The 27,673-nt window shown below is 42.0% G+C and overlaps 2 protein-coding genes and 1 long non-coding RNA gene across 5 annotated transcripts in view, besides 3 other annotated features; 2 read left to right on the forward strand and 1 right to left on the reverse strand.

The window, feature by feature from the left end:
- The window catches only part of PAQR8 (progestin and adipoQ receptor family member 8), a 45,627-nt gene extending 35,282 nt beyond the window's left edge, over nucleotides 1–10,345 (forward strand). The window contains exon 2 of the mRNA NM_133367.5: nucleotides 5,730–10,345. Within this exon, the coding sequence (NP_588608.1) occupies nucleotides 5,782–6,846 (1,065 nt within the window). The 5' untranslated portion in view covers nucleotides 5,730–5,781 and the 3' untranslated portion in view covers nucleotides 6,847–10,345. The remainder of the gene's footprint in view (nucleotides 1–5,729) is intronic.
- Nucleotides 1,057–1,116: an enhancer, noted in NCBI's record as "active region_24678". NCBI's record gives its function as "activates an Ori minimal core promoter by ATAC-STARR-seq in GM12878 lymphoblastoid cells {active_cell/tissue: GM12878}" and the evidence as "EXISTENCE:reporter gene assay evidence [ECO:0000049][PMID:35858748]".
- Nucleotides 19,159–19,453: a silencer, noted in NCBI's record as "tiled region #10279; HepG2 Repressive DNase matched - State 5:Enh". NCBI's record gives its function as "represses a minimal TATA promoter and a strong SV40 promoter by Sharpr-MPRA in HepG2 cells {active_cell/tissue: HepG2}" and the evidence as "EXISTENCE:reporter gene assay evidence [ECO:0000049][PMID:27701403]".
- LOC124901331 (uncharacterized) lies at nucleotides 20,468–23,549 on the reverse strand. The gene is made up of 2 exons (XR_007059611.1): nucleotides 22,777–23,549; nucleotides 20,468–21,016 (listed from the first exon to the last, which is right to left on the reverse strand). It is a non-coding gene; the product is annotated as an uncharacterized LOC124901331 (long non-coding RNA).
- Nucleotides 22,879–23,470: an enhancer, noted in NCBI's record as "H3K27ac hESC enhancer chr6:52285109-52285700 (GRCh37/hg19 assembly coordinates)". NCBI's record gives its function as "activates a minimal SCP1, AML or CMV promoter by ChIP-STARR-seq in naive H9 embryonic stem cells {active_cell/tissue: H9 hESC(naive)}" and the evidence as "EXISTENCE:reporter gene assay evidence [ECO:0000049][PMID:30033119]".
- EFHC1 (EF-hand domain containing 1) overlaps nucleotides 22,910–27,673 on the forward strand; it is a 76,857-nt gene continuing 72,093 nt past the window's right edge. For 2 of the 3 annotated variants that reach the window (NR_033327.2, NM_018100.4), the window contains exons 1-2: nucleotides 22,910–23,041; nucleotides 26,514–26,735. Coding sequence is in view for 2 of the 3 variants with exons in the window: in NM_018100.4 (NP_060570.2) it covers nucleotides 22,979–23,041; nucleotides 26,514–26,735 (285 nt within the window). In the remaining variant the exon portion in view is untranslated. Of the gene's footprint in view, nucleotides 23,042–23,575; nucleotides 23,637–26,254; nucleotides 26,383–26,513; nucleotides 26,736–27,673 lie in introns of those variants that run through there. The other variant, NM_001172420.2, reaches the window with a different exon arrangement.

Here is a 27,673-nt window from a genome sequence, read left to right on the forward strand (position 1 = left end):
TTTGTTCTCTTCTATAGATCTATTTGTATTTCGCTCTAGTTTACACTTGTTTATGTGTGTCATCTGGTGTTGTTGGCTGTTGATTCATGAAGTTTGACTCTTCTAAGCTTCTTGAGGTAAAGGGTCTTATTGTATTCTTCCTCTGCGGCCTTTGTAGCCTGGAATAGTGTTGAATAGATAATCCTTGCTCTGAAAAAGATTTCTGGTTGATCAAAATTACAAGACTTGAGATTATCCAGTTAATAAAAATTCTTGAGGAAGATTTAAATTTCAGCTGTCCAGGAGCTGGAGTGAACCCTGTGCAAAGGAGATTGTTCTAAGGTAGAATCTTGGTCAGCTGATAGTCACATCAGGTTAGGTAGGAGGGTGTGGGAACAGAGGCCAGAAGTGAGGGAGGGGCTCTCTTACTCAGTGCAGCCACCTGGGAAGGCTGGGAGGCTTCAACATCATGATGACAATATGTGGTTTCCTCCAAAACGGGCTCAAATTTTACAGCTGGTCCTTTGAATCATGGAAGCATTGCCCATACCTGCTTGGTGAAAGTGAGGCCTAAGAGGGAGGGGGGCAGACCCCACTTGACAGTGGTTTCTGAAGTTAATGATGATAAAAGAATTATAACTCATGGTACCATTTTTGTAGCTGTGTTAGCTGCTCTCAAAGGGAGAATTTCATGGCAGAGGAAGAGGTGGTTGCTAAGGAAATGACAGAAAAAAAGAAAACAACCCAAACCCTCTTTCTGACCACAAGTTTAGAATTTTTCTTTTCTTTTTTCTTTTTTTTTTTTTTTTTTTGAGGCAGAGTTTCACTCTTGTTGCCCACGCTGGAGTGCAATGGCGTGATCTTGGCTCACTGCAACCTCCACCTCTCTGGTTCAAGTGATTCTCCTGCCTCAGCCTTCTGAGTAGTTGGGATTACAGGAGCCTGCTAACACACCCAGCTAATTTTTTGTATTTTTAGTAGTGACGGGGTTTCACTATATTGGCCAGGCTGGTCTTGAACTTCTGACCTCAGGTGATCTGCCCACCTCAGCCTCCCAAAGTGCTGGGATTACAGGTGTGAGCCACCATGCGTGACCTTAGAATTTTTCATGACCTTGCACTACCAAAGGGAAATTTAAGTCCTTTCTTGTTGTTGTTTTTGAGATGAAGTCTCGCTTTGTCACCCAGGCTGGAGTGCAGTGGCACGATCTCGGCTCACTGCAACCTCCTCCTCCTGGGTTCAAGTGATTCTCCTGCCTCAGCCTCCCTAGTAGCTGGGATTACAGGCACCGGCCACCATGCCCAGCTAATTTTTGTATTTTTAGTAGAGATGGTGTTTCAGCATGTTGGTCAGGGTGGTCCCGAACTCCTGACCTCAAGCAGTCCACCCACCTCAGCCTCCCAAAGTGCTGGGATTTACAGGCGTGAGCCACTGTCCCTGGCTGGGAAATTTAAGCCCTTTTTACCCTCAGAGGACAGATCTTTGCAACCCTCTCATTCCTGAGAGGTAAGGAATCATATTCTGAGTTAGAGCCTATGGTGGTTGTATCCCTGGACTCTCAGGTTCCTTTGTGGCTATTGGGTTACACACTCCAGGGGGTGGAGTTATTAAGAAGACCCTGAGATCTCTGTGGCTGCATTTTAAAGATCTCATTTGTAAGGGAAATGATGATTCTGCCAATTTCTCTCCCCTTGTGCACCTTTTCTTTTGAAGTTAAAGTTAATATCCCTTTGGACTTGTACCTCTCTGCTTCTTAGTTCTATAAATCTCTTCCTAGTTTATTTTCTGAAAGAGTGAAGTAGAAATAATTTCCAGAAAATAACTTGTCAACATAAAGTCATGAGGGAGGCTGGTGATATGAGAAATAGAAGGAACTGTCAGAGCTCTGCAGTCATGGTCTTCTGCAGACCAATAATAAGGCAGTATCATGTTCCGTCCTTTCTCCCTCAGAACAGACAGATGCCAGTTAGTTCCCAGGTCTGAATTGTGCTCTCTTCCAATCGCTAAACTACTAAAACCCAAAGTTTTAGTCTTTAGAAATTCAGTTGAGTTGTCAGTTTATAAGAACCTGCTATGTGATGGATACGCTATTTTAAGGATATGAAGATTAGTAGGAATTGTGTGGTTATATATTATTTAACTCTGGATGCAGGAATCGTCTGATTGGTTTGGGTTCCCAAAGATGAGAGAAATAGCCTTGATTTTAGACAGCATGCAGACAGGGATACTGGGAGCATCTTTGGGGATTCCTTCTTCTATAGTCACTGGGGTTATACCCAGTGACTCACCTTGATTTCTCCCAGCCATAAAATCAGACTGGTAATTTCATCTGGTTTGCTCTCTACTTCACAAGAGGTAGTAGAAGACTATATCTAAAGAATAGAGCACTTTAATTCCCCAGAACTCCAACAAGCCCAGCACCCCCAGATTATATGTTGCTAACAGCAACAGGGCAACTTGAGAAGTTATCCCACATCCCAGGCCCATTCCTGTAGTTCGTCCACCAAGGTCAGTTGGAGAAACTTCCATCCAGAACTGAACTCTAAGGCACTCGGATCCCTCTGCTGGCTGATAGCAGAAGCACCACTTAGCTTTTTCTTTTCTTTTTGTTTTCAAATGAATTCAGGTATTCTAATTAGCATTTTCTTTCTCTCTCCCACACTCCCTCTTTCTGTGTTTCTCTTTCTGGCTGACTGTAATCCTTAATACACTTCTCTTGGTGTCTTTAATTCCTACATTGAGCTTGAGTTCATAGCCCATTCCTGGTAGAAGACCACTGTCTGATGGGTGCTGGCTAAATGAATGCCTCAATACAGGGTTACAGGGGCTGCCATAGAAATAGGTTCAAGGTATGGAGGGGACATTAGGCCCTGAACTCATGAATGATTCCTGCATCTCATATCAGTGATGGTCATAATAATGGCAAGTAGTTATGCAGACTTGGAACCAAGCACTTTGTTAAACACTTTACAGCCATTATGTCATATAGTTCTTTTTCAGCCCTGTAAGGCAGCTTCTCTGTCATTTACTCCACAGATAACAAAGCTCAGGCTGGATTCATGCAGCTTGTTGATGGTGGGGCTCAGGATGTGAGTTCAGGTCTCTCTGGCACCAATGTCATAACTGCAAACTACAATGACTTCAGATACTCCAGGCTTTCCAAGCCCATATCTTGGCAGAAGTTCTTTGACCTTGCTCTCTGCCTAGAAGTCTCTTCCGCCTTTATCTTTTCTCAGGAATTCTGATTTTTCCTTCAAGATTCAGTTCAGGGTCACTTCAAGAGGGCTATACCCCCATCCTTTCCCTGTTTTGGTTGTTTGCTGAGACCTCTGTGAACCAGTGTTTGTCTCTAATGGAGCACTTATTGCACATTTTTGTGTTGATTCCCCTACATGTCTGTCTCCCCAGTAAACTTTGATCTCTTTGAAGGCAGGAAGTGTATCTTACCAGTCTTTGTATCCCTAGTACCTAGTACCTAGCACAGAGCCCAGCTCATAGCAATAAAAATGACAGCAATATTTCACATTTACTACGCACTTACCTTGGGCTGGGCAGAGTGCTAAGCACTTCATTTTTTAGACCCTCTCATTTAACTATCACACAACCCATATAATATATAGAATTATGAAGAAACTGAGGCTGAGAGAATTCTATAACTTGCCCAAGGTCACCCCAGTAAGTGGCAAAACTGGAGCTTGACTCCAGGTCTCCCTGAACTTCTTTACATTTTATTAATTTTCATGCCCTACACTTTTTTACCTGATTAGGTATTTTTTCTCTTCCAATATTGATTGAGACGTATGAGTAGGAATTACATTTTCTTTGCTAAAATTAGTAAGCACCTTGAACAGTACTTGCTGTATGTGCTCCAGTACTTGCTGTATGTGCTTGCTGTATGTGCTCCATTTAGATAAATCAGATATTAAATTTTTCTGAAGAAAAAAGCTTGGGAAACATAATTACATAAGGTAACTAGAAATGATCAAAATCTATTTCTTTACCTAGCAACTTCAGATGAAATTTTGCAGCAGTTTCATGAAATATTTTATGAAATAATTGCTGTATTCGTCTGTCACTGAGAAATACAAGTGTAAGTTAAGCATTTCTGAAGCCTGAAATTCACCGAGTGCAGTTTTAATTACCCAAGAGAAGCAAATCTAAAACTACTTGCTTTTCAGAGCATAATTTAAAAAATGAACAACAGTCTTTGCAATGAGATTTTATGTTAAATTTAGGTCACATGTTAATTTTAACTGTTAGGATATCCTAGAATGTGCATTGTTCTTTACCAACCTAACTGACGAGTCAATTTGCCTGTCTTAAATATGAGGCTTAGTCAGTTGCTCACCTCATATTTTCAAAGTACCAGTGAAATTAGTGGATAGTTTAAGATTAGGTAGGTGCTAAAGAAATACAGTCTATCATTAGCTATATCAATATTTGTAATTCTTATACTTCAATATGATATTTCATGCTATTAAAGCCTGTTTATTACATTTTAATATCGAGAAAAGCCCATATCCTTTAAAGGTTACCTTACTTATAATTAAATCTTGATAATCATTAAGTCATTGGTATCACTAAATTATGTTAGGGTAGCTAACATTTCCATTTTACAAGATGTAACTTTGCCTCACACTGAGTGTAGTAAACATAGAATATTGGGACAGGCCAGGCATGGTGGCTTAACGCCTGTAATTCCAGCACTTTTGGAGGATGAGGTGGGAAGATCATTTGAGGTTAGAAGTTCGAGACCAGCCTGGCCAACATGGTGAAACCCCATCTCTACTAAAAATATAAAAATTAGCTGGGTGTGGTGGTGCATGCCTGTAATACCAGCTACTTGGGAGGCTGAGGCAGGAGAATTGCTTGAACCCGGGAGACGGAAGTTGCAGTGAACCAAGATTGCGCCACTGCATCCCAGCTGGGCGACAGAGCAAGACCCTGTTTCAAAAAAAATCTTCGGGAGGCTGAGGTGGGCGGATCACCTGAGGTCGGGCGTTCCAGACCAGCCTGACCAACATGGAGAAACCCCATCTCTACTGAAAATACAAAATTAGCCAGGCGTGGTGGCACATGCCTGTAATCCCAGCTACTTGGGAGGCTGAGGCAGGAGAATTGCTTGAACCCGGGAGGCGGAGGTTGTGGTGAGCCGAGATGGTACCATTGCATTCCAGCCTGGGCAACAAGAGTGAAACTCTGTCTCAAAAAAAAAAAAAAAAAAGAAAGAAAGAAAAAAAAGAATATTGGGACAGTAAGGGATCTTGGTCCAACTCCATTATTCTACAGATGAATTAAAGGAGGCTCAAAGAAGCTGTCTGCAGCTCCTTGCTTCCTCTACTGTACCAGAAAGCCACGTTGCATTAAAATAACCACGGATCCTAGCCGGCCTGGTGGCTCACGCCTGTAATCTCAACACTTGGGGAGGCTGAGGAGGGAGGAGTGCTTGAGCCCAGGAGTTTGGGCCCAGCCTGCTGTACATAGCGACACCCCTGTCTCTACAACAACAGCAGCAACAAAAAATTATCCGGGCGTGTTGGCGTGCATCTATGGTCCTAGCTACTCTGGAGGATCACCTGAGCCCAGGAATTAGAGGTTGCAATGAGCTGTGATCGTGCCACTGCACTCTAGCCTGGGCGACAGAGTGATACCCCGTCTCAAAAGAAAAGAAAATAGCCATAGTTCCTTGTCCGTCTTAGCTGCATTCGTGTCTCACTGCGGCTTTGCCAATTTTCCTTTCTTTTCTGCAGGTTGCATACCCTGTCCTGAGGGCGCGGCACGGAGTGCATGCGGGCCGCTGCCATGACGACCGCCATCTTGGAGCGCCTGAGCACCCTGTCGGTCAGCGGGCAGCAGCTGCGCCGCCTGCCCAAGATCCTGGAGGATGGGCTTCCCAAGATGCCTTGCACTGTCCCAGAAACGGATGTGCCCCAGCTCTTCCGGGAGCCTTACATCCGCACCGGCTACCGCCCCACGGGGCACGAGTGGCGCTACTACTTCTTCAGCCTCTTTCAGAAACACAACGAGGTGGTCAACGTCTGGACCCATTTACTGGCAGCCCTGGCCGTCCTCTTGCGATTCTGGGCCTTTGCCGAGGCTGAGGCCTTGCCATGGGCGTCTACCCACTCCCTGCCTCTGCTCCTCTTCATCCTGTCGTCAATCACTTACCTCACCTGCAGCCTTCTGGCCCACCTGCTGCAGTCCAAGTCAGAGCTCTCCCACTACACCTTCTACTTTGTGGACTATGTTGGCGTGAGCGTTTACCAATATGGCAGTGCTTTGGCTCATTTCTTCTACAGCTCTGACCAGGCCTGGTATGACCGGTTCTGGCTTTTCTTCTTGCCAGCAGCTGCCTTCTGTGGCTGGTTATCTTGTGCTGGCTGTTGCTATGCCAAATATCGTTACCGGAGGCCTTATCCAGTCATGAGGAAGATCTGTCAAGTGGTGCCAGCAGGTCTGGCTTTTATCCTAGACATCAGCCCTGTGGCACACCGTGTGGCGCTCTGTCACCTGGCTGGCTGCCAGGAGCAAGCAGCCTGGTACCACACCCTCCAGATCCTCTTCTTCCTGGTTAGCGCTTATTTCTTCTCCTGCCCCGTGCCTGAGAAGTACTTCCCGGGTTCCTGTGACATCGTGGGCCATGGGCATCAGATCTTCCATGCATTTCTGTCCATCTGTACGCTCTCCCAGCTGGAGGCCATCCTCCTGGACTACCAGGGGCGGCAGGAGATCTTCCTGCAGCGCCATGGACCCCTATCTGTCCACATGGCCTGCCTCTCCTTCTTCTTCCTGGCTGCCTGCAGTGCTGCCACCGCAGCCCTTCTGAGGCACAAAGTCAAGGCCAGACTGACCAAGAAAGATTCCTGAGGCTGGCAAGTGGGGCAACGTGTGGAGGAAGCCCCTCATAATTTGGAGAAAACTTGATACAATAGAAGCTGACTTTTAAGGCATTGGCTTTTAAATTAATACATATATCCAAGGATATGTTATAGCTGCAGTGTTTGAAAGCCAAAGGATTTAAGAGTTTTGTTGTTGTTAATAAAAGGAATACTCCTTTTCCTTTTGGATCATAGCTTAACAAGGCACAGGAAGGGAAGGGATCTTGACTAAGATTCATGAGACATTGAATTAAGGAGAATCATCTTCATGCCTGAAAATTTAGCAAAATTCCGACTATGGCCTCCAGGGGCAATTCCTAAAAGCTGAATGGATAATAAAATTGGACTGGAAAGTAAGTAGGTGGCTGGTCCTCACCCTGTTGGAATGGCTATCCTACTATGCTGTTCTTTGGTAATGGAATAAATTGACCCAAGGACCGAATTTCATTTGGATTTCAAATTGTCCAGAGTGGAAAAGCCTTCAAGATGACATGATGAATTACTCAGTTCATCTGATTTCTGGTCCCTCCTTTCTCGACAACTATAATACTAACCCTTTTCTCAGGATAACTGTCTACACCTGGCAGTTTTCTCTGACGTGCTGTTCACTCACATCCCTACCTTGCATGGTAATATAAAGGACTAGGAAGCAGTCATACTTCCAGGAAATGCTTGGATTCATGTGGACATTCAGGAAGCTTATTCTCATATAATACTAATCTAAACAGTACTAGAAATTACAGTGCCAAGAGCCACCAGGAGGCCCAGCCAATAAGCATAGATACTATATGGTATCATGGGACCCATCTATTTTTTACCAGTGGACTACAGGATTACTTGAGAGTTATCAGGGCTGCCTAACAGACCAGGAGATCTGGGGGTTGCACCAGGGAATCGCCATATTTGACCAGCATGTTTTAAAAGCTCTTGGTAGGATTAGTTGGTTCTAAGGATCCCTCTAGGGACCTCATTATTTCAAGAGGAACCCAAAGTCCAGCCTCCTACATAGATGCTGCCCCACGAAGGACCCACAAAACTAACCTAGTTCAGGGTTCTCAGGCAGGCAGTTCTGCTTCAGCTTAGAGCAGAACCCATAAAATACTCAAGTACTGGGATAGGCAAGCATGTGTGTTTACTGTGGATTGGTCCCTGAAGGCTCCTTTGGGTGAGAACATGTGAACCAGGCACCCTGGTTTGTTTGGAGCATTGCTGCCCAGAAGCTTCTATGGGATAGGTGGTGCTTGGGATTGATGTGTTGTGGCCATGCAGCCCTCCCTGAGGATTGACTTCTGCACTAATCCAGTGAAGGAGGCTGTGTCAAAAGAAGGGCTCAGAAGCCCTCTTTTCAGAGGCAATGATTCCTGTCAGTATGAGGTCCCTTAGTTACTAAAAAGGGACATGATTTAACTCCAGTTTGATGAACCTCCTCCGAGTTTACTTTATTGTCTTCAAATCTTTTGTTTTCTTCCTTTTTGTGAGATTTGTGGGTTTTGTGCCTTATAAATGGAAATGTATGAACACAATATATGCTCATGTAGAATTTTCTGTTCTGGGTTATTGGGATAAGAAAAAATATATATTGCTCTTCAACTAGTGAATGAAAGAAACTTCAGAAAGCTAGAATTGCTTATCAATCAAAAGACTTTCTCAATCTATTTTGGCCACAAACAAACATATTCAACTGAAGCTTTCCAATAATCTTTATATCAAGAAAGCATGCGTCTTGTCAGCTACATTGTTTTCTTAGATGGATTTCTCCTGTTAATCCTCAAATATCTGAACTTCTGTGTTACCCAAGTGTCTTATACAAGCTTCTGGTGTCTAGGACAAATTTATGGCAAATAAAATTAGCAAAACTGAACTGGGTTGAACTGAACAAGAGGATGGGGGAATTGTGCAAATACGTTGTTAGTAGAAGGTCAATTTAAAATAGGGACTAGAAATTATTTGAAGTTTTCTTTATTACGGATTCAAAGACTTATTTTGAAAGTTGGAAGGAGAAGGGAGGGAAGAGAGCAGAAGGGAAGAAGGTGTAAGTCAAGCTCTTGAATATAACTGGTGGTATTGTGGGCAGAGATCTTTAGTTCAAATCCACGTATTTTTTAAAAGAGAGAACCGGAGGTAGAGCAATGATCAGATGGGTGCACAGACCAGTGCCAATCTGAACATTGTTAATGGCCTGTGACATGATGAGCACAGGAACAGGCATGAAGATATTGCCATACAATTTTAATTTATACAAGTATTGGCCCCTCAAGTGGTTGGAAATTTTTTTTTTAATCTCTTTTTCTGAGACAGGGTCTTACTCTGTCGCCCAGGCTGGAGTGCAGTGATGCAATCACGGCTCACTGCAGCCTCGACCTCCCCAGCTCAAGCAATCCTCCCACCTCAGCCTCCTAAGTACCTGGTACTACAGGCGCGTGCCACCACACCTGGCTAATTTTTGCATTTTTTGTAGAGACAGGGTTTTGCCACGTTGCTTAGGCTGGTCTTGAACTCCTGAACTCAAGTGATCCGCCCACCTCAGCCTCCCAAAGTGTTGGGATTACAGACATTAGCCATCACGCCTGCCCTAGAAACAGTTTTTTAATAGGAGATATTTGAGAGGCATTGAGGTAGGAGACTCTATGACATGCCCTCAGAATATCAGAATCTTCTTAGAAATAAACTAGGAAATGCAGATGTTTTTAACTACTCAGACTTTTGAGGAATTAATCCTTTTAAAACATTTTTGTTAAAGTTAGTGTATCAGTAAGAAACAGACCTAGTTTAAAAGGAATAATCAACAATTTTATAAAGGAGATGGCTTATTCAACCATAGCCCCTCCAACATATCTACTGGAAATTCTGCTGGTTAACTTTATCTCTCTCTCTCTTAATTTAGACTTTCAACCTATGAAAATGTAAATACCTTTGAAAAAACTAAACTATCAGTCATTTACATCCTCTCATGAATGAAATGCAGTGTAGGGAGAGGAGATGGCAGGACACAGCAAACAGGACACATTTGCCTGCTTCTCTCTTGCCTAATTCTTCCTGACCTGTATTTACTGATGCTTAATAATACTTGTAAGACTCTAGGGGTTCATTTCCCATTTCAGCGGAAAGTACTTCACTCAACAACAATATTCTCAAGAGTCTTCTACTGGAAGCTAGAAAGAAATAGGAATTTAAGTCCATAGAATGAAGGTAGTTATTCCTGCCTGTGTTGCCCACCTGTTCACAAAAAGTACCTTTATGCTTGAAAACATTAGGTTCTTTGGTTACTGCACTGTAGTTTCAAATGGATCCTCCAGATGGCATTCATGTCTTACTCAGAAAGGGCACTGCCATTGTCCCCAAGGCTTCTGTCTACTAATTCTATTGGTCTTGTGTTTTGCTTGCTTGGCAAAAAAAAAAAAAAAAAAAAAAAAAAAAAAAATGGAGCTATTTTCTGTCTATATAAATCTACTTATATGAATAACCATTAAAGTGATTTTGTATATGCATTGTTGTAGTGTCAGCAGTTTAAAGAAACAGCTACTTTGTTTCTTTGACAAGGTCTTAACAAGGACTACCCTGAAGAGGCCCCCTCTGAAAGGTTTTATTTATACAAACATTGTCAGGAAAAGGAGGTCAGGACACTATCTCTACCAAGAAGCAGGAAAGTATAAAAACTTTTAAAAAATCTCCATGCCTTATCCCCCATACACATATCCCCCATACACACACCCTAATACCTACTTGTGAGTAGAACAAATTGCTTCCCCACAAAATGCTATGAAGTTGATTTCTCTGAAGATTTCAATGTAATTAAATAAATATTCCTAGTTTCATAGATGATAGTGTAAAAGATTTCAACATTTTTAATTCATTGGCTACAATTTTATAAATGTAAAAATTATGAATTATACTATGATTTAACTATAGCAGGTACTACAATGTACGTGTTGTGAAATGTGGCATCTATTAACCAACTAATTATGTAGCCTTCAAAGTTAGATTAAAAGAGCTGTGTAAAAGGTGATTCTCTAGGCACTGCTGAAGCTGCAACTGCAGCTTCAGGCTATAGTACTATCATAATCACTAAGAAAACAGCATTTCTATGGCTAGAGGCTCCACTGGTCGAATTATGGTTGTCACTCTTGCCCAAACCCTTTTTTTTTCACCAGCAGGGGCCCCAGGCAGTTTGAAAATCCTTCTGTTGTTACTGTTACTAGTTTAACCACTCTTCAGTTATTAATTTAGCAAGAATTTATTGAGCACCTATTGGTGAAAGGTACCACCTTGGCTCTGGAGACACCACAGTGTGGAAAAACACACTCTGTGGGCAGAGAGTCTGCCGTCTGCTAAATGAGGACCAGTATCTTTTCCTTGGGCCATGAGGGTCCCTCTCCCCGGATCGTGGTTCCAATCACAGCCTGAGGGCCAGGAGGCTGGGACCTGGTTTGGGCCAGAACTTCTTCATAAGGATTAAGCCCTCTCTCCCCTTTACCTCCAGAGGTTGGAAACATCTTCCCCTGTAGCAAGGCAGTCACCTTAAAGCTGCCTCTACTTCCCGTTACTCCTGCTACTTCTCCGACCCTTCTCACTACCCTCTAGTTGTTTTAACTCAGTCATGGGGATCCTTGACACATCCAGACAGAGAGAGAGAGAAGGCCTAAATTTCCACAAGCAGTAGCGACTTCCCAGGTACATAAAGTCCCATCCTTCAAGGAAGAGGATGTGTGGTTCCAACCTGAATACAGGTTCCTAACTTGGTAAGTTGAAAACAGCATGCTGCACTCTGGCTACCTCCTTAAAACAATAACCATATCCTTTGTGGAATTATTATAGAAGTAATTTAACATGGAAGGAAAATCATTGCATTAAAAAGATAATTCATTTAAATATTAACTTTGGGAGCATATCTATCTATGGTAAGGGCTTTTCTTACATAACAGGATTCTCACTGGAAGAGGTATTCACTATATTTTAAGATTCCAAGAGGCCTGGACCATATGGAAGGCTACAGAATAACAGCTCAAATTTTATTGTGCATTATGATTTCTAAAACATTTCCACATCAATATGAGCTTCTAAACTGTATGAGGTAAGTAAGGCCAAACAGGTCTCCATTGAACTAGGAAACACTAGAAAGGTCAAGTGACTGGTTTGAAGCCACACAACTAGTTATAATGTTTAAACTCATTTTTCCTTCAGAAAAATTCACGGTCCAGCTAATCAGAAACATCAGCACCAAATACTTGCAGAGCTTTTTACAGCAAATGAAGCACTTTTATGCATTATGTACACTTTGACATAATCTTTTAACTTTTGATCCTAATATCTCATGCATAGCCAGGGTTGCATCATTTCTTTTTTGAGTTAAAGTGACTTCACTCCACCCACATCCTTGGATGCAGAATAAAGCATTCATTGCATCACAGAGGCTTCTCAGAACCCCAAAGTTCATTGTCCATGGGCCCTTGGGGACTGGATTATAAAGTCAAGTCCTACTCTCCAGTCAGTTTCCTGAAAATATGTTTGGATCCTTGGATGAGAAAGTCCTGCCAAATCTCAAATCCTCCCTTTTATCTTTTGATGGGATTGTCAGTTCTTTAAACAATCACCTTTCCCCGGGATTTTGACAAGAGATATGAACTTGAACATGGGATTTAAAAAATGTTTCTCTGCCATATGAAAGAGTTTTGCAGACTTACTAGAAAGCACAAAAAAGTCTTTGATTATTTCTTAAAGCAATATATGCTTATTAAAGAAACTAGAAAAGTAGTAAGAAAAGATAATCCTTGGATCCATCAGTAAAATAAAATCCCTGTTAGGGAAAAATAAGGCTTATGTCAAAATATTGTCAATGATAAAAGGTGTAGCAGTGTCATGTAAAGATTCCTGAAAAAACAGATATTGTAAACTAGAAATTTTAAGCAGCCTAGTATTTTATTCTTTAAGTTACAAAATCAACCGTCTGGCTCAGTTTACAGGAGTACCGAGAATGACATTACACTCCCTTCTGACATTATATTATGTAGGTAATTTGATGTTGTTGTGGCTGATACTGGCTCATTAATCCAAGCCAATGATACATTGTCTCTCATGTTGAAAGAATTGCATGGAATGTTTCTCCTGAATCAAGCTCTCAGAGAGGACTGTGCTAGAAATACCTTTACTGGAGGTAAGGACTGGCCTGCTGAACCTGTGAGTATGTGGATTCATTGTCAGTCCTTCCACAGTGACCACTGCTGGATACCAGGCTCTGTTCTAGGCACCTGGGATACAGGAATGAATAAAACACACAAATTCCTGCCCTTATGGAGAAACAATGAACCAAATCAATAAATTATATATTAGAAGATAACAGTGCCAAGGAGAAACAGAGAGCAAGGAAGAGAGATAGACTGGAGAAATTGGTAAGTGTGCCATTTTAAACAGGATCAGGGAAGAATACCAAAAAAGGTGATGGAGCCAGCTCTGTTTCTCACCCAGGCAAAGGGAAGAAGTGCAAGGGCTCTGAGCCTAGGGCATGCCAGGAATGGCCAGGAGGGAAAATGCAGAGAGGGAAAATACAGCAGAAGATGAGGACAAGTTGTATAGGTCTTGTGAAGAATTGCTTTTACTGTGACTTTGGGAATGGGGTATGTGAGGAAGAATTCTGTCCAAGGAAATTCAGGGTAGCTATCTATCGATATGGATTAATTACTAATTGCACATTACTTTGCCTTTAGGAAATAGAGCAAATTCTGTTTCCTGCAATATGCACAAAACCAGACTGACATCAAGTTATTCCATGTGTAGGCCAGCAAACTCTGTGTTCCTGTGGCCACACTCTCATGCTTGCAGAATTCTTCCCAGATTCCTCCCAGAGCATTTTTAAAGTGCCCAGAATGTTGACCTCTGCTTCTGACATAGGCTTTGAATGTTTTCTCATTCTTTGGACACTAGTTTGTACTCTGGATAATCCTCTGGGCAGAAATGACATGACATGTCTAAGGCAGAGCCTATAAATTGGGGATAATAACAGTTTACATTATCTAGTACTCACCACTTGCCAAGAACTGAGCTGAGCTGTTTTCCTAGATTCCTTCATTTAACCCTCATAGTAGCCCTGTGAGGTAGGCACTAATACTGCCTCCATTTTGCAAATGAGGAAACTGAGGCATAAAGTAAATTTGCCCACAACTACCTGGCTCTTAAGTAATGGAATCTCACAGACACTCAGGCCTTTGAATCCAGAGTCTATATTCTTAGCCACTAAAATTAAGTGAATGTAGAAGATTCTTTCCTCTAACTTCTCACATTGTCACTTGTGTGAACCATAAAAAGTTTAAAATTAAGAGGGAAGTGTAATGTAGATTTCCATCTCCCCACCCCTGATAAATGAAGTAAACCTAAGGATGCAGTTCTCATTTTATTTCTAGACACTTTAGCCAAGCAAAAGTCCTTATACTGTTATTGTCGAATGGTACCAAGGCTGAGATTCCTAAGTGTATTTTGTGCTAGAATACAACATGGCGCTACTCACATTACAATCTCAGAAGCCCTCTGTAATGACCTGAAGGATCTGAAGGACAGAAACTCACTTTAAGAACCACTGACTTCAAATTATTTTTGCATGCTTCTCTAATGTTTATAAAATGACTCTAGTGAATACTTTCTCATCTTTAGGACCTTTTAATATATCTTATTCCTCATTAAAATAAATTTGAGCATGATTCCAGGCTAAACAAATTTCTTAAAGACAGCAATGGCAACATGCAAAATATCTCCATCTAGTGTTTTCTCTTTTCTAAACAAGAACAAATTATCTTGGAATCTGACTAATTTTGCTCCAGGAAAAATACCTTTGCACACAGTACCCGGCACAAAGTTTGTGTTCGGAAAGTGCTAGTGGTAATCACACAGTCATTATTTCTTTTTCTATTTTTTTTTTTTGAGATGGAGTTTTGCTCTTGTTGCCCAGGGTGGAGTCCAGTGGCGCAATCTCAGCTCACCACAACCTTTAGCTCCCAGGTTCAGGCGATTCTGCCTCAGCCTCCCTAGTAGCTGGGATTACAGGCATGTGCCACCACGCCCCGCTAATTTTGTATTTTTAGTAGAGACCAGGTTTCTCCATGTTGGTCAGGCTGGTCTCGAACTCCCACCCTCAGGTGATTCGCCCGCCTCAGCCTCTCAAAGTGCCGAGATTACAGGTGTGAGCCACCGCACCTGGCCCACAGTCATTATTTCTATCACTTCACGCTGAGCAGGGTGTTGTGAGTTCTGCACAAATTCATCCACACTCTCCAAGGGCTCCCAGACGTCTCTCACCAGAACAGGAGCTCTCTGTCCTTGGGAGGGATTTTTCTCCACCCACAACGGAATAAGATGTAGTTCATCTTCCCTGGGAAATGGGGGATTTCTTGCTTTCCTCCACATTCCTTCCCTGACATTCAGTCTGCATGATCAAAGACTCTCTCAGGCATCAGGAAGAACCTTCCATTGGTACACACACACACCACCCAGACATTCTGGCAGCACCGCCCTTTCTCACTATGGTCCCCAAGTGTTCTCAGACTACAGAAGAAACCCTACTGGTCCACATACTCATTTTTTCTACCTTTTGATTCCCATCTATTATGTGTTTGTGTCCCTTAGATATATTGAAGTCCTAAACCCCGCTGCCTCAATTAGTGACCTTATTTGGAGACAGGGTAGTTGTACATGTAAGCAGTTAAGATGAGGTCATACTGGACAATCTCTTAATTCAATATGACTGGTGTCCATATAAGAAGAGGAGAAGACACAGAGGAAAGACAGCCATGTGAAGACACATAGACACACACAGGGGACAGCATCATGTGACAATGTAGGCAGAGATGGGAGTTATGTATCTGCAAGCTAAAGAGTGCCAAGGATTTCTGGTAATAAGCAGAAACTGGGGGATGGGGTGTGTGGGTTAGGGTGGCGGGGCAGGCAGAGAGAGAGAATGGCCTTGCCAGCACCCTGATTTCAGACTTCTAGCCTTCAGAACTGTGACAGAAAAAAAATTCTTTTTAAGCCACCCAGCTTGTGGTACTTTGTTACGATGACCCTAGAAAACTTAATACAGCATCGCAGGGCCAACCTCAGTTTTAACCTCCCTATGAAATTGACAGTTTTTTCTAACCAGTGGCTCTTGGTCTCTCAACTCAGCAAGCACAGGTAGAGAATGGGACACGAAGACCCCTCCCTTCCCCCCCATCTATACCCTATTAAAGGGAGAAATGGGATTTGCAGATCTCAGCAGAGATACAGATGGGAAGCTTATCATGTGTGTGAATACAATAGAACCTCTGTGGTAGGGAGTTAAGTACAGAGAAAATGTTGTGAACAGCCAGTTTCAGTGTGGCTGTGTTTCCCATCTGAGTCTACCCTGTGTAAGCAGGTGCTCCTGGGTTGCACCTTGGCAACTTCCCACCTGGGTCTTTGCCTCTACTCTTGGTACTCACAACCAACTCATCTACCTGCAAGCACCTTCATCTTTGGGTGCAAAGGTTTTATATTCACCGTCTGCCTCGCATTCTAGTGGTGATAAAAAAAATAGTAAACCAAACAAATAGGGAAAAGACCATGGCTCCACGGAAAGCTCCAGCCATCTAGCCTCCTCTGTGGCCCACCAGAAAGCTGTTGTGCTCTTTTCATAAACTCTACGTTGAAAAGAGATTAGATGCCCTCCTACCCTCTAAAAGGATCTGGGTGTGTGTGTGTGTGTGTCTAAAAGGATCTGGGTGTGTGTGTGTGTGTGTGTGTGTGTGTATGTGTATGTGTGTGTGTGTGTGTGTGTGTGATATTTATTCAGAGTTGGTAGGTGGGGGGTGGGTAAAAAGGAAAGAAAGACTTAACTCACACAAACCAAACCCTTCTACATGTTGCATTCTCTAAAGTGCCCAACATATTTCCCTACCCCCCTTTTCTCCTTTCTTTTTACCTTAATCTGTCTTTAATTTTCCATAGTTTTTCCAATTCCCAGTCACTGACCAAACTGTCCATTCACCATGCTCCCCCAGACAATGGTAATAGCAAACAGTCAGTGAGCGCTTACTATGTGCCAGGCACTACAGTAAGTGCTAACATATATGAACTCATTTAATGCTCACAACAACCTTGTGAATTGGGAATAACAATTATTATTCCTGTTTATGGCTATTAAAAGGTTAAGAAACTTCTGCAGGGTCACAGAGCTGGTAAGTGGTAGGATTTGCAACTCTGCAGTCTGACTCTGCAGTCCATAATATTTTATTTTTATTTTTTTATTACGAAAAACCTTGAGCATATACAAAAGTAGATAGAATTGTATGATGAATTCCCATGTAATCACATACACAATTATCAAATCATGGGGAATCTAGTTTCATCTACATCCCTACTCACTTGCTTCTGTCCATATTATTTTGGACATTATATAATTATATAATATATACTATCTCATATATTATATAAGATATTATATAATATCTATAATTTTATAGATGTTATATAATTTTTCCTACAATACATGCTTTTTATGTATCCTTAAAAGATGAAGACTCTTTACACAAGAATACAATATCATTATCATGTCTAAAAAACTGAAGAACAATTCCTTACCATCAAATATCCTGTGTTTGAATTCCCAATGGTCTCACAAATGTGATAATTATTTCAAAGTATTTAGTTTAAATCAGGATCCCAATAGGACCCACACATTGCAATTGGTTGACTTTTTACTTAAATCTCTTTCTAATTTATAGGTTTCCCTTCTACCCCAGTCTTTTTACTCCTTTCCAATTCAGTTGTTGGCCAAACAATCATTTGTCCTGGAGAGTTTCCTACAGTCCACTCACTTTACCGCTACATCATTCTGCCTTTGGGGTACTATATTGTAGACTTTTCATTCCATAGATTTTAAAGAGGGGAAAACTCAATGAAGTGATTTCTAGACTCACTGGAGCTTTCATGAACTACATGAAATTATAAGTACATGTGAATGTGTGCATTTTAGGGAACCAAAGTCTAAAGCTTTTACAAGATTTTAAAAATGATCCCATGACCCTCAAACAATTAATGGTCATTAGCTCTGGTCCTGGCTTTTCATTTTAGAGATGAAAAGCAGGAGACTTGGATAGGTAAATTGTCCAAACTCACACAAATATTCTTAACAGGACAGGAATGTGGCTCTCAGGACCTAACCTGTTCTACTTTCTGTTTCATGCTGCATATGTGAAAGGGGAAAAGGAAAGTGGTTTGAGATGCTCAATAGAAGGTGTCAATTTCCCTATTGTTTCAAAGTTGCCATTTACCTGAATTAATGAATTCACTTCTTGTCCACATTTGGAATCTAAAACTCTAGTCAATGTTACTACCACAACATTCTCACACTTCTCTTTCTCCGTACTATTGAGAGCTTTATTATGCCAGAGATGTCTCACAAGCAGGATGCCAAGATCAATGATCTGTCCTGAGCTAAATGAGGACTGTCTTTCCTAGATGTCAGAGGATTGAGGTGGAGTGTAAGAAATACTCAATTGGGAACCAGTCATTAATTGATAGTTCCTTGATCTCTTTTGGTCTGGAGATTTCTCATTAGTAAAATGAGCTAACCGGACTGTGTCAATTACTTTTCAAGCATTTTGACTGTGATCATGATATACTCTCACTATGAATGTATATGTATGTATATATCTTGAAAAAACTTTCACTGAATTATTCTTACAAACAAAATGGAATGCATCTGGATAGTTTCTATTCTATTCTTTTTTAAAAATAATTCTCGTTGTGGTCACAACCTATTAAGTTGATTTGAAGAACTGCTAAAGGAAATCTGCAGCAGTTTGAAAAATACTTTCCCACGTGACCGCTGAGTCATTCATTCATTAACTGTAGTAGGTCAGTAATTTTCCAACTATTTAATGGACATCTATGTAGTGCTAGGCACTGTGATGAGAGTTAGGAAAATGGCAATGAAAAAATGAAGACCATCTTCTTATGACGCTTATATCCTGTGAAGTATGTTCCATCAGCTTTGACAAGGAAAGAGAATTCCAACGGAATCAGCTAAAGCTATTGAATAGGTTTGACTTAAGGGAGGAAAAAGCAGCAGAAATACAGGTTTTTCCAAACCCCAGGCAGGAGCCCACATCAAGACTAAAATAGTCTAGACCCAAATGATGTAATTTTTGTGTCAAATGAAGATCTCCTGTGGATCCTAAATCTAATCACTGGATGTTTCTCCTTTTCCCATACTTTGCAAAGATCGAAGTGGATGACTGGGCCCTCTTTTTAGATAAAATATTTCAGAGGCCATGGAGTGATGGAAAGGAATGCTAGAGAGCACTCTGACTGAGGGACACCCCCTGGCCATATTCACGTGCTCACCACACCCCCAAGTACCTGCAAAACCTGCAGGTATGTAATTGGTTGTTTTCTTTTCCAGAAATTTTGCTGTACCATTTTTACCCAGCAGAGGGAAGCAGAACACCAAATCACTGCAGAAGTAATCCAGGACACATGCACACACAGCCCTTTGGTATTTTTTGTCCTGTGAATTTAGGTATTATAGAATGAGAATGTCACAGTTTTGAAAACAAATTCTGGGTAAAGTCAGCTCTGGGCAAAATGCTGAAAGAGGAGAGGTTTATTTTAGCTGACTGCTTATGGCCTGTCCCATCAGGATTGCCTGGAAGACATTACCCAGCCCACAAGGCCCTCTTTCAGGCTTGGCTCCTGGCAGTCTGACCTTTCAATTTTTTTCCATTCCCCAAGTTTTGGAACACCTGCTAAAATCATGCAATATTTCTGTGGTCTTCTGAGTCAGGCTTTATGCAATGGCCTTTCAATCATGGCATTTCCTACTTTAGCTGCCAGGAATGGTCAGTTTCCTGCCCTCTTTTATATATTCCACTAAGTGGGAAATGGTGGGTACAAACTGAAGTGCAATGCATGCTAAGTGGTCATGTAGACTGGAGTGCAGTGGCATGATCTCTGTTCACTGCAACCTCTGCCTCCCCGGTTCAAGCGATTCTCCTGCCTCAGCCTCCTGAGTAGCTGGGACTACAGGCATGTGCCACCACGTCCAGCTAATTTTTGTATTTTTAGTAGAGATGGGGTTTCGCCAGGCTGGTCTCAAAATCTTGGCCTCAAGTGATTTGCCCACCTTGGCCTCCCAAAGTGCTGGGGTTACGGGCATGAGCCACTGCACCCGACTGGGATACAAACTCTTAATCACAGCAGACCTTCTGAGGATCCAGGTACCTTTCTGAAGCCCTGCCTTTCCTCCCGCCCCACTTCTTTACAGACTTGTCCCTGTGCCTTTTAACACTAATGCAGTACGTCTGACTTCCCCTCCTCAGAGATGATAGCATTTTTAGGAGGCCATAGACCAACAGAAGTTGTCTTCATGCATTTCTGGGGTCCGAAAGTAGTTAAAACACACCCCTTAGCCATTTAACTGGCGTGCTTTTCTGGAAAGAAAGGCATGAGCAGAGGGCACTCCTCAAATAGAAACAGATGCGATAATGGACAATAGGCTTAGGCATGACTCAGCCTTTCCAGCTCCACACGCTCCTTCCCTACCCAACCCAGGAATATAGATCCAAGTGCAACCATGCACTTAGTCAAGAAGAGCTCTTCAAAGTGTGTCCTAATGCCATGAAATTTACTTTTAATAAGAGAGTGGGTAGGGAGGGATCATGGAACTTCTAACAGTTTAAGGTTATCATGAAGAGTCAGCAAAAATTACAGTAACCAGTGATTCTGGGTAATCAGCGTCAATGAGGTGGAGAGAAGTGGGAGAGGTGCCTTATCTTTGAAAGGTTAAACTTGCCATCTTTTTTTTTTTTTTTCCTTTTTTTGAGACGGAGTTTTGCTCTTGTTGCCCAGGCTGGAGTGCAATGGCGCGATCTCGGCTCACTGCAACCTCTACCTCCCGGGTTCAAGCGATTCTCGTGCCTCAGCCTCCCAAGTAGCTGGGATTACAGGCATGCGCCCCCATGCCCAGCTAATTTTGTATTTTTAGTAGAGGTGGGGTTTCACTATGTTGTCCAGGCTGGTCTCAAACTCTGACCTCAGGCGATCCACCCGCCTCGGCCTCCCAAAGTGCTGGGATTACAGGCGTGAGCCACCGCACCCAGCAAACTTGCCATCTTGACATATTCCTCCAGTGACTGGCATCCATCCTCAGTTGGTGTCTAAGGTATAATACAACGGACAGGTACTTTAAAAGTTTTCAGTAACTTCCACAATGCTAACCAATGTTTGAGGAATATGATTACATTTATTTTTTTAAAAAATAAGCAAGTTTTGTAAAAAGCACCAAAGGCAAAAAAACTTCATTGAAGTTTTTAAAAAATGTATTAAACTGCTGCATTAAGGTAATGTACTTACAGAAAAAGAAAAAGAGGTTTAAAAAAGGACAAGAACAGGAAACAGATGTAGTAAGGGGAGAAGAGTTAGAAAGGAAACTCTCTGGGCAGGGTATGGTAAGCAGGCATCAATAACTGCCTCAGGTGCCACTTAATGCATTCATGTCCTGGGCCTCCTGAGCGTCACACAAATTAGTGAAACCCAACAGGGGGATTTGCTCTGACAAGCAGCAATAAAAGTAAAGCTGCTGTCTGTATTGGCAGTAAACTACCTGTGACACTGAGATATGCCTTCTGTGTCTGGCTTATTACTCTATCATGTTCCTAAACTGGCTTGTCACAAACGCCTGTTACAAAAATCAGATTCCTGGCCTCCATGTCAGACCTAATGAATCCAAATCTCTCGGCACGTGGGTTTTGATTACTTTTTATTTTTAAGCTCCTCAGCAATGATGGATAGCTTTCTCCCCCCCCCCCCAAAAAAAATGTTTCAGGAATAGGATTATGTTTCTTTTAAGAAAAAATAATTTAAGCAAGTTTTGTAAAAAGCATCAAAGGCTATACCTATGATGCTGACAATATTTCACCTCACTTATCTGCTTCTTTCCCAAGACTTAGTCTTTCTCTTTGAAGGAGCTGTGTTCCTCCTAGTGGTTCTGATCTTTTTCATTGCAGCTGCAGGTACAAACGAGGGATTGAGGTGACCACCCTTCAACCTGCAGCTCTTCAGTCAACAAAAATCAAGTACCTATCAGAGTGCACCCTGCCCTGCAGCACATATTCAAGGCTTTCCCTACAAAAACAAAGGTGTTTAACCGAAGGGATTGATGGTAGAATAAAGAGAGCTGGGCGCGGTGGCTCATGCCTGTAATCCCAGCACTTTGGGAGGCGAGGTGGGCGGATCGCTTGACCCCAGGAATTCGAGACCAGCTTGGGCAACATAGTGGGACACTATCTCTACGGAAGGAGGGAAGTAGGGAAGGAAGGAAGGAAGCAAGGAGGGAAGGAGGGACGGAGGGAAGGAGGGAAGGAAGGAAGGAAAAAGAAAAGAAAGGAAAGAAAGAAAGGAAAGAAAGAAAGAGAAAGATTGATTTTAAAAAAGAGTTAAAAGGGGAAAAATACAATGTGGCAGTGGGAGAATTAAGGATGAGATGATTGCATTAGTTCATTGACCATCCCTGAGCAACAGAAACACAATCATGGGTAATCCTCGGCCCCTGCCTACAAGAAGCATGGGTCTAGTTTAGTAGCACTGCCAACTGGACCGACCATTTACACTTCTGTGTGAAATGGGGCAGAGGGGGGAGAAAAGAGTGCCTGAGCTCACAGCGTTGGCGGGGCGCAGTGAGGTCCGCCAGGACTAGGTGGAAGGAGAGAAGGAACGTCCCTCTCTGCAACTCATCTAAGGGCCTGCTCGGACCCCGGATCTCACAGCGAGAACTACCGCCTCGCTACACCCGCCTTTCCCCGCGCCACCCAACAGCTCCCACGTCTCATCCTCCGGGAGCGGGGCGGGGCGAAGCGGAAGAGGAGGGGCCGACACAACCACGCCCACTAGCCGCGCTCCAAGGCCGCGGCCCACTTACCGCGAGAACGCGGAGTCCTGCGGATGGCGCACGCGCAAACCTCCTGTGATGCCTGCGCCTCCTGGCCCCGCCTTCCGCTCGTGGGAGTTCCGGATGTTTAGCGTTACCATGGATCCTGGAGGTGCCCGCGAACACTGCTTGTCGCCTGGGCAACCGGAGAGGACGAAGCAGGACCTAGGTGGCGGCGGTGGTACCGGCTGCAATGGTGTCCAATCCCGTGCATGGCTTGCCCTTTCTTCCGGGCACGTCCTTTAAGGACTCTACGGTGAGCAGTTATCTGCCAGACTCCCACCTGTCCCCACCTTCCAGCAGCCCAGGAGGTTTCCCCGCTCAGTGCACCTCCATTCCCCTCCACTCAAGTCTGTCTTCTCTCCAAACACGTCTTCTGTCCTGACCCTGTTCTTTATTCTGGGCCGAACTTCTGCCGTTCTTCCCTAGCCATCCTCATCCCCTCTCTCCGATCCTTTGCCCTCCGCCTCATCCCTCTCTAGTTTTTTCCCACTCCATCTTGGCAGTGTGTTGGCGCCTTCATTCTCATCCCGTTAGCCGCGTTCTTTCTTACGGCCCTGCTCCTCCAAGCCCCTGCCTCTTGTCCCTTTAGATCACTGTTTCCCCCACCCTACTCCCAACCTATCTCTGGGCCCTCTCCCTAGCTCGTTCTCTCACATCATAACCTGTCTCCGTCCATCGCCGCCCTTAAAACCCCCCGCCACTATGCACCTTCAACCTCATTCCCACAGGTCCGTCATTCCCGCCCCACCTCTTCCTCTTCTGAATCCTGTACCCGGTAGTATCTCCCACTCCCAGCTCCATTTCCTGTTTTGTATGTATATCGATTCCGCTCCTCTTCTTTCCGCCAGGTCTTTTTCCTTTCTTCTTTATGCTTGCATCCAACCCCATTCTTTTTTCTCCATCTTCTACATTTTCCACAATTTAGTCCCATCCTCTCCCCATTCCTTTCTTTCTCCGTTGCGGGTTTTCCCCAAAACTTGCTCACCTTCCTCCCAAAGCATCTTTCCCTGCTTTGTAAGAGATATTCCTTTCCAGTTCCCTCAAGAATTGATTAGTTGCTGTTTATTCTTCCCCGGCCCTGTTCTTTTTATTCTAACGTTTTTGTAAAAAGATTCCTGTTTAGATTTTGTTTTGCTCCTTCCCCAACCTTGTGTTTTTATTTGCATTTTCTAGACAAAATTTTTTAAAAAGTAGCAGCAGCTTGGATTCTTTTTTTTTTTTAAACTCTTGCCACAGTTTAGCTCTTAAAATTATTTGGTTTGTTTTAATTCTGACAGGGCTACTGAAATGTATGTGCTGAAAAATCAATAATGAGATTCAGTAGACTGATCATCATAGATGAGCTAACAGTAGTTTATGTTTATATAGTTTAATACTTTAAACTCTTGCCTTCCTCTCCAGCTTCACAAAGTTAAAATATTTTGTCAATTTATTTTCTTTGGAAGAATCAATTTAGAATGAAATCGAAAGTTTGGTGAGAGAATTTGTATTCTGAATCTCTGTAATTATCCCTGCATTAAGACACAACATCATAGATTTTTAGTTTCAGTGGACTTTTCAGTTTTATGTAATTTAGAAAATGTTGTAGGCACTTGCCTGCCCTATACAGGATGAGCTTAAGCTTTTGGTGTTGGTGAGTATAGACAGGGCTGAGTTGATACAGGGAATTACAGAGGTGTGGATGGAAGTGCAAAGCTCTAAAAACATATTGCTGTATTACAAGTAAGAAGAACTGTGCATTGGACATATTTCAGATTTTAAATACACTGGCCAAGTGTCAACCAATTTGCCCTATTTGAAATTTGAAAAGCATCGTCAGTATATCTTCAGCAGTGAAGGACTGAATATGTATTAATGTAATTCTAAAGACATGCAGATAAGAAGTTAAAAAATTTTTAAAGGGGAGTGGGAAAACGATTTTAAAAAAAGACACACAGAAGGTGAACCATAATGGACAAGAGGGGTGGAAAGGGCCGAGGTTGCCTTGCCTGGGGTGTCTGTGAGTTATGGCTGAATGATGGTAGAGACATTTGTCTAAAACAAAGAAATAAACTGAAGTCACTGATGTTGCTTCTGTCTTTGGTGGTGGAAGAAGAGCTTGAAGTTCCATAAATTACCCAATGAGGATGTCAACTCAGCGCATTTTGTTCTATGTCATGTTTACTATATACCTGGAGCAGTCCCTGTCAACTGACTTGTGACTCTGAATACATGACCTTTAAAAACAAATGTCATACATTTGTTTTTATGGGTTATATACAGTTTATAACCCTTTTAGCAAAAGAAGTTTATTCTGTTGTACCTTTCATGTTAGTACAGATCTTGAAAGATGGTAGGCTGGGCTCTAAAGCAATTAGGATGTAGAAAGTTTTTTTCATAAAAATATTTTTTATGATTAATCTTAAATTGTATCTATGTATATATTTGAATATTATAGATAAGTAATTGTGAAAGTATCCTCACAACAGAAAAAGGAAACCATTAACATAACCTCTAATTTGCCTTTCTACTCTTTTTTATTTAATCTTTTAAATAAAAATGTGTTCATTGTAAAAAATCAACATAATTTAGAAATGTATAATACAGAGGACCAAACCAGTCTCTTCATGCACATATTTCCATGCTTATAATTGCAGTACACATATAATTTTATATGTTGCTTTTTCAGGCTTATTAAATCATAAATATTTTCACCAGGTTGCCACGTGATCTCTAAAATCAATATTTTAATGACAGCACCATAATCCATTGAGTGAGTTTTCGATCATTTACTCATGTCTTCATATGACTGTCTTTTAGATTGTCTTCAACATTTACCATTGTAATGGGCAGCTTCAGGCATATAGTTCTTTCTCATAATTCTGAATCATATTCGTAAATAAATGGTCGGGGTAGAATTATTGAGTTCAAGACTTTAAATATATACCATCCAGTTGCTTTCCAAAGAGTTGTAAGAATGTATCACTGTCATTGTGACAAGAGGGACAGGTAAAAATAAATTCATTCCATGTAAAAATAAAATTCACAGAACCGTATCTTCTAGGTTCTACAGTTTTTACGGCCCCAGATATCAGATGAAAAACATGAGAAGACTAGTGAAAAACTTAAGAGTATAGATGAGATACTCTTTTAATCTCTCATGCAAGGTGAATTGGTAGTTAAATTGGGCATTACAGAGCACAGCTTTAAATTTTACTTTAAGCTTAGGTGGCTACTTCGCTCCTTGTTCTTGTTCAAGTGTTTTAACTTAAAATACAGAATCTTTTAATGTAGGTAAGCTTTTGTTTTGTTTTGTTTTTTTGAGACAGAGTCTCACTGTTGCCCAGGCTGGAGTGCAGTGGTTCAATCATAGCTTATTGCAGCTTGGACCTCCCAGGCTCAAGTGATCCTTCCACCTCAGCCGACTATAATAGGCACAAGCCACCACACCCAGCTAATTTTTTTTTTTTTTTTTTTTTTTTTTTAGTTTTTGTAGAGACAGCATCTTGTTGCCCAGGCTGGTCTCGAACTCTGGGGCTGAAGTGATTCTCCCTCTTCAGCCTCCCAGAGTTCTGGGATTATAGGCACGAGCCACCATGCCCAGCCTTAATGTTGGTAAGCTTCTTGATGTAAGTTTTGTGATGCTTATAAGCAAAGATTCAAGTTATATTTTTAAAAGTTAGTTTTTTTTTTACCTAACAAATATTTGTCTAATGTTATTAATGACACATTCTTTTCTTCTTCAGAAAACAGCCTTCCACAGAAGTCAGACGCTGAGCTACAGGAACGGCTATGCAATTGTTCGACGTCCAACAGTTGGGATAGGCGGAGACCGGCTCCAGTTCAACCAGCTGTCCCAGGCTGAGCTGGATGAGTTGGCCAGTAAGGCACCAGTCTTAACTTATGGCCAACCTAAACAAGCCCCACCTGCGGATTTTATTCCTGCGCATGTGGCCTTTGACAAAAAGGTATCATCTGGAATTTTAGGGTACCCCTTGAATTAGGGTCTGAGAGCCAACTGCTTGCAAAAAAGTTAAAACAGTAAACCACAGAATTTCCAAAGGGCTCTGAGGAGAAAATTGTTCAGATGCCTTAACCCTTAGTCATGGACAGCTGAACTCAGGCTAAAAAGAGGCTTTCTTTAGTCAGGAAGCTGATTACAGGGAGTAAAGTAGTTCCCTGTAGACTTCACCAGACTATTTTCCAAATGCAGTTAAAGAAAAGTTGGCTATAATTCTGAATTCTTGAATTTATATTCTATGTTTATCAGCCGTGTGTTCTCCACTTTTTAAAGGTAACTGTATTCTGTAATGGTGACATATCTAATCTTCATGAGATGCAGAATATCATTATGAAAACAATGACTCCATCTATTGTCAGTTTTCTGCAAGGCAGTCTCCATAAGTTTTTGGTTTTCAGGGAACATTTCATGTTTGATATTACATAACCAATGGGTGGTATAACATTTTTGTTTGTTTCTCATTTATCTTTATGTTTTTGCAATGTGAGTTTCCTCATTTCCATCTATTGACATTACCACATCATTCTTGTTTTTCCTTGTCAATGAGCCTCCTCTTTTCACTAAAGTGAAGTAGCCCTAGCCCTGACCATGTAGCAGAATCACTGGCGAGATTTTTAAGAAAGTTACGTTATTCCAACCCTCATCAGTTCTAATTTCCAGATGAGCTTTATGTGTAACTGGTTCTGAGAAGTACTGATCAGTTTTGATAAGTTAGCTTTCTTAATTTACTCTTAGTCTGTTTCTTTTCTTGTCTTAATTTTTATTTTATTATTCCTGTTAAATGTCTATAACATTTTCATCCAGCCAGCCAACTTTTATTGAGTACCTGTTGTAAGCTAGAGGCTGGGGAGGAGCTATGCCATTTACATGATAGTCACTTATTTT

This window comes from Homo sapiens, chromosome 6 (assembly GCF_000001405.40).
Source record: "Homo sapiens chromosome 6, GRCh38.p14 Primary Assembly".
NCBI classification, from domain to species: Eukaryota; Metazoa; Chordata; class Mammalia; order Primates; family Hominidae; genus Homo; species Homo sapiens.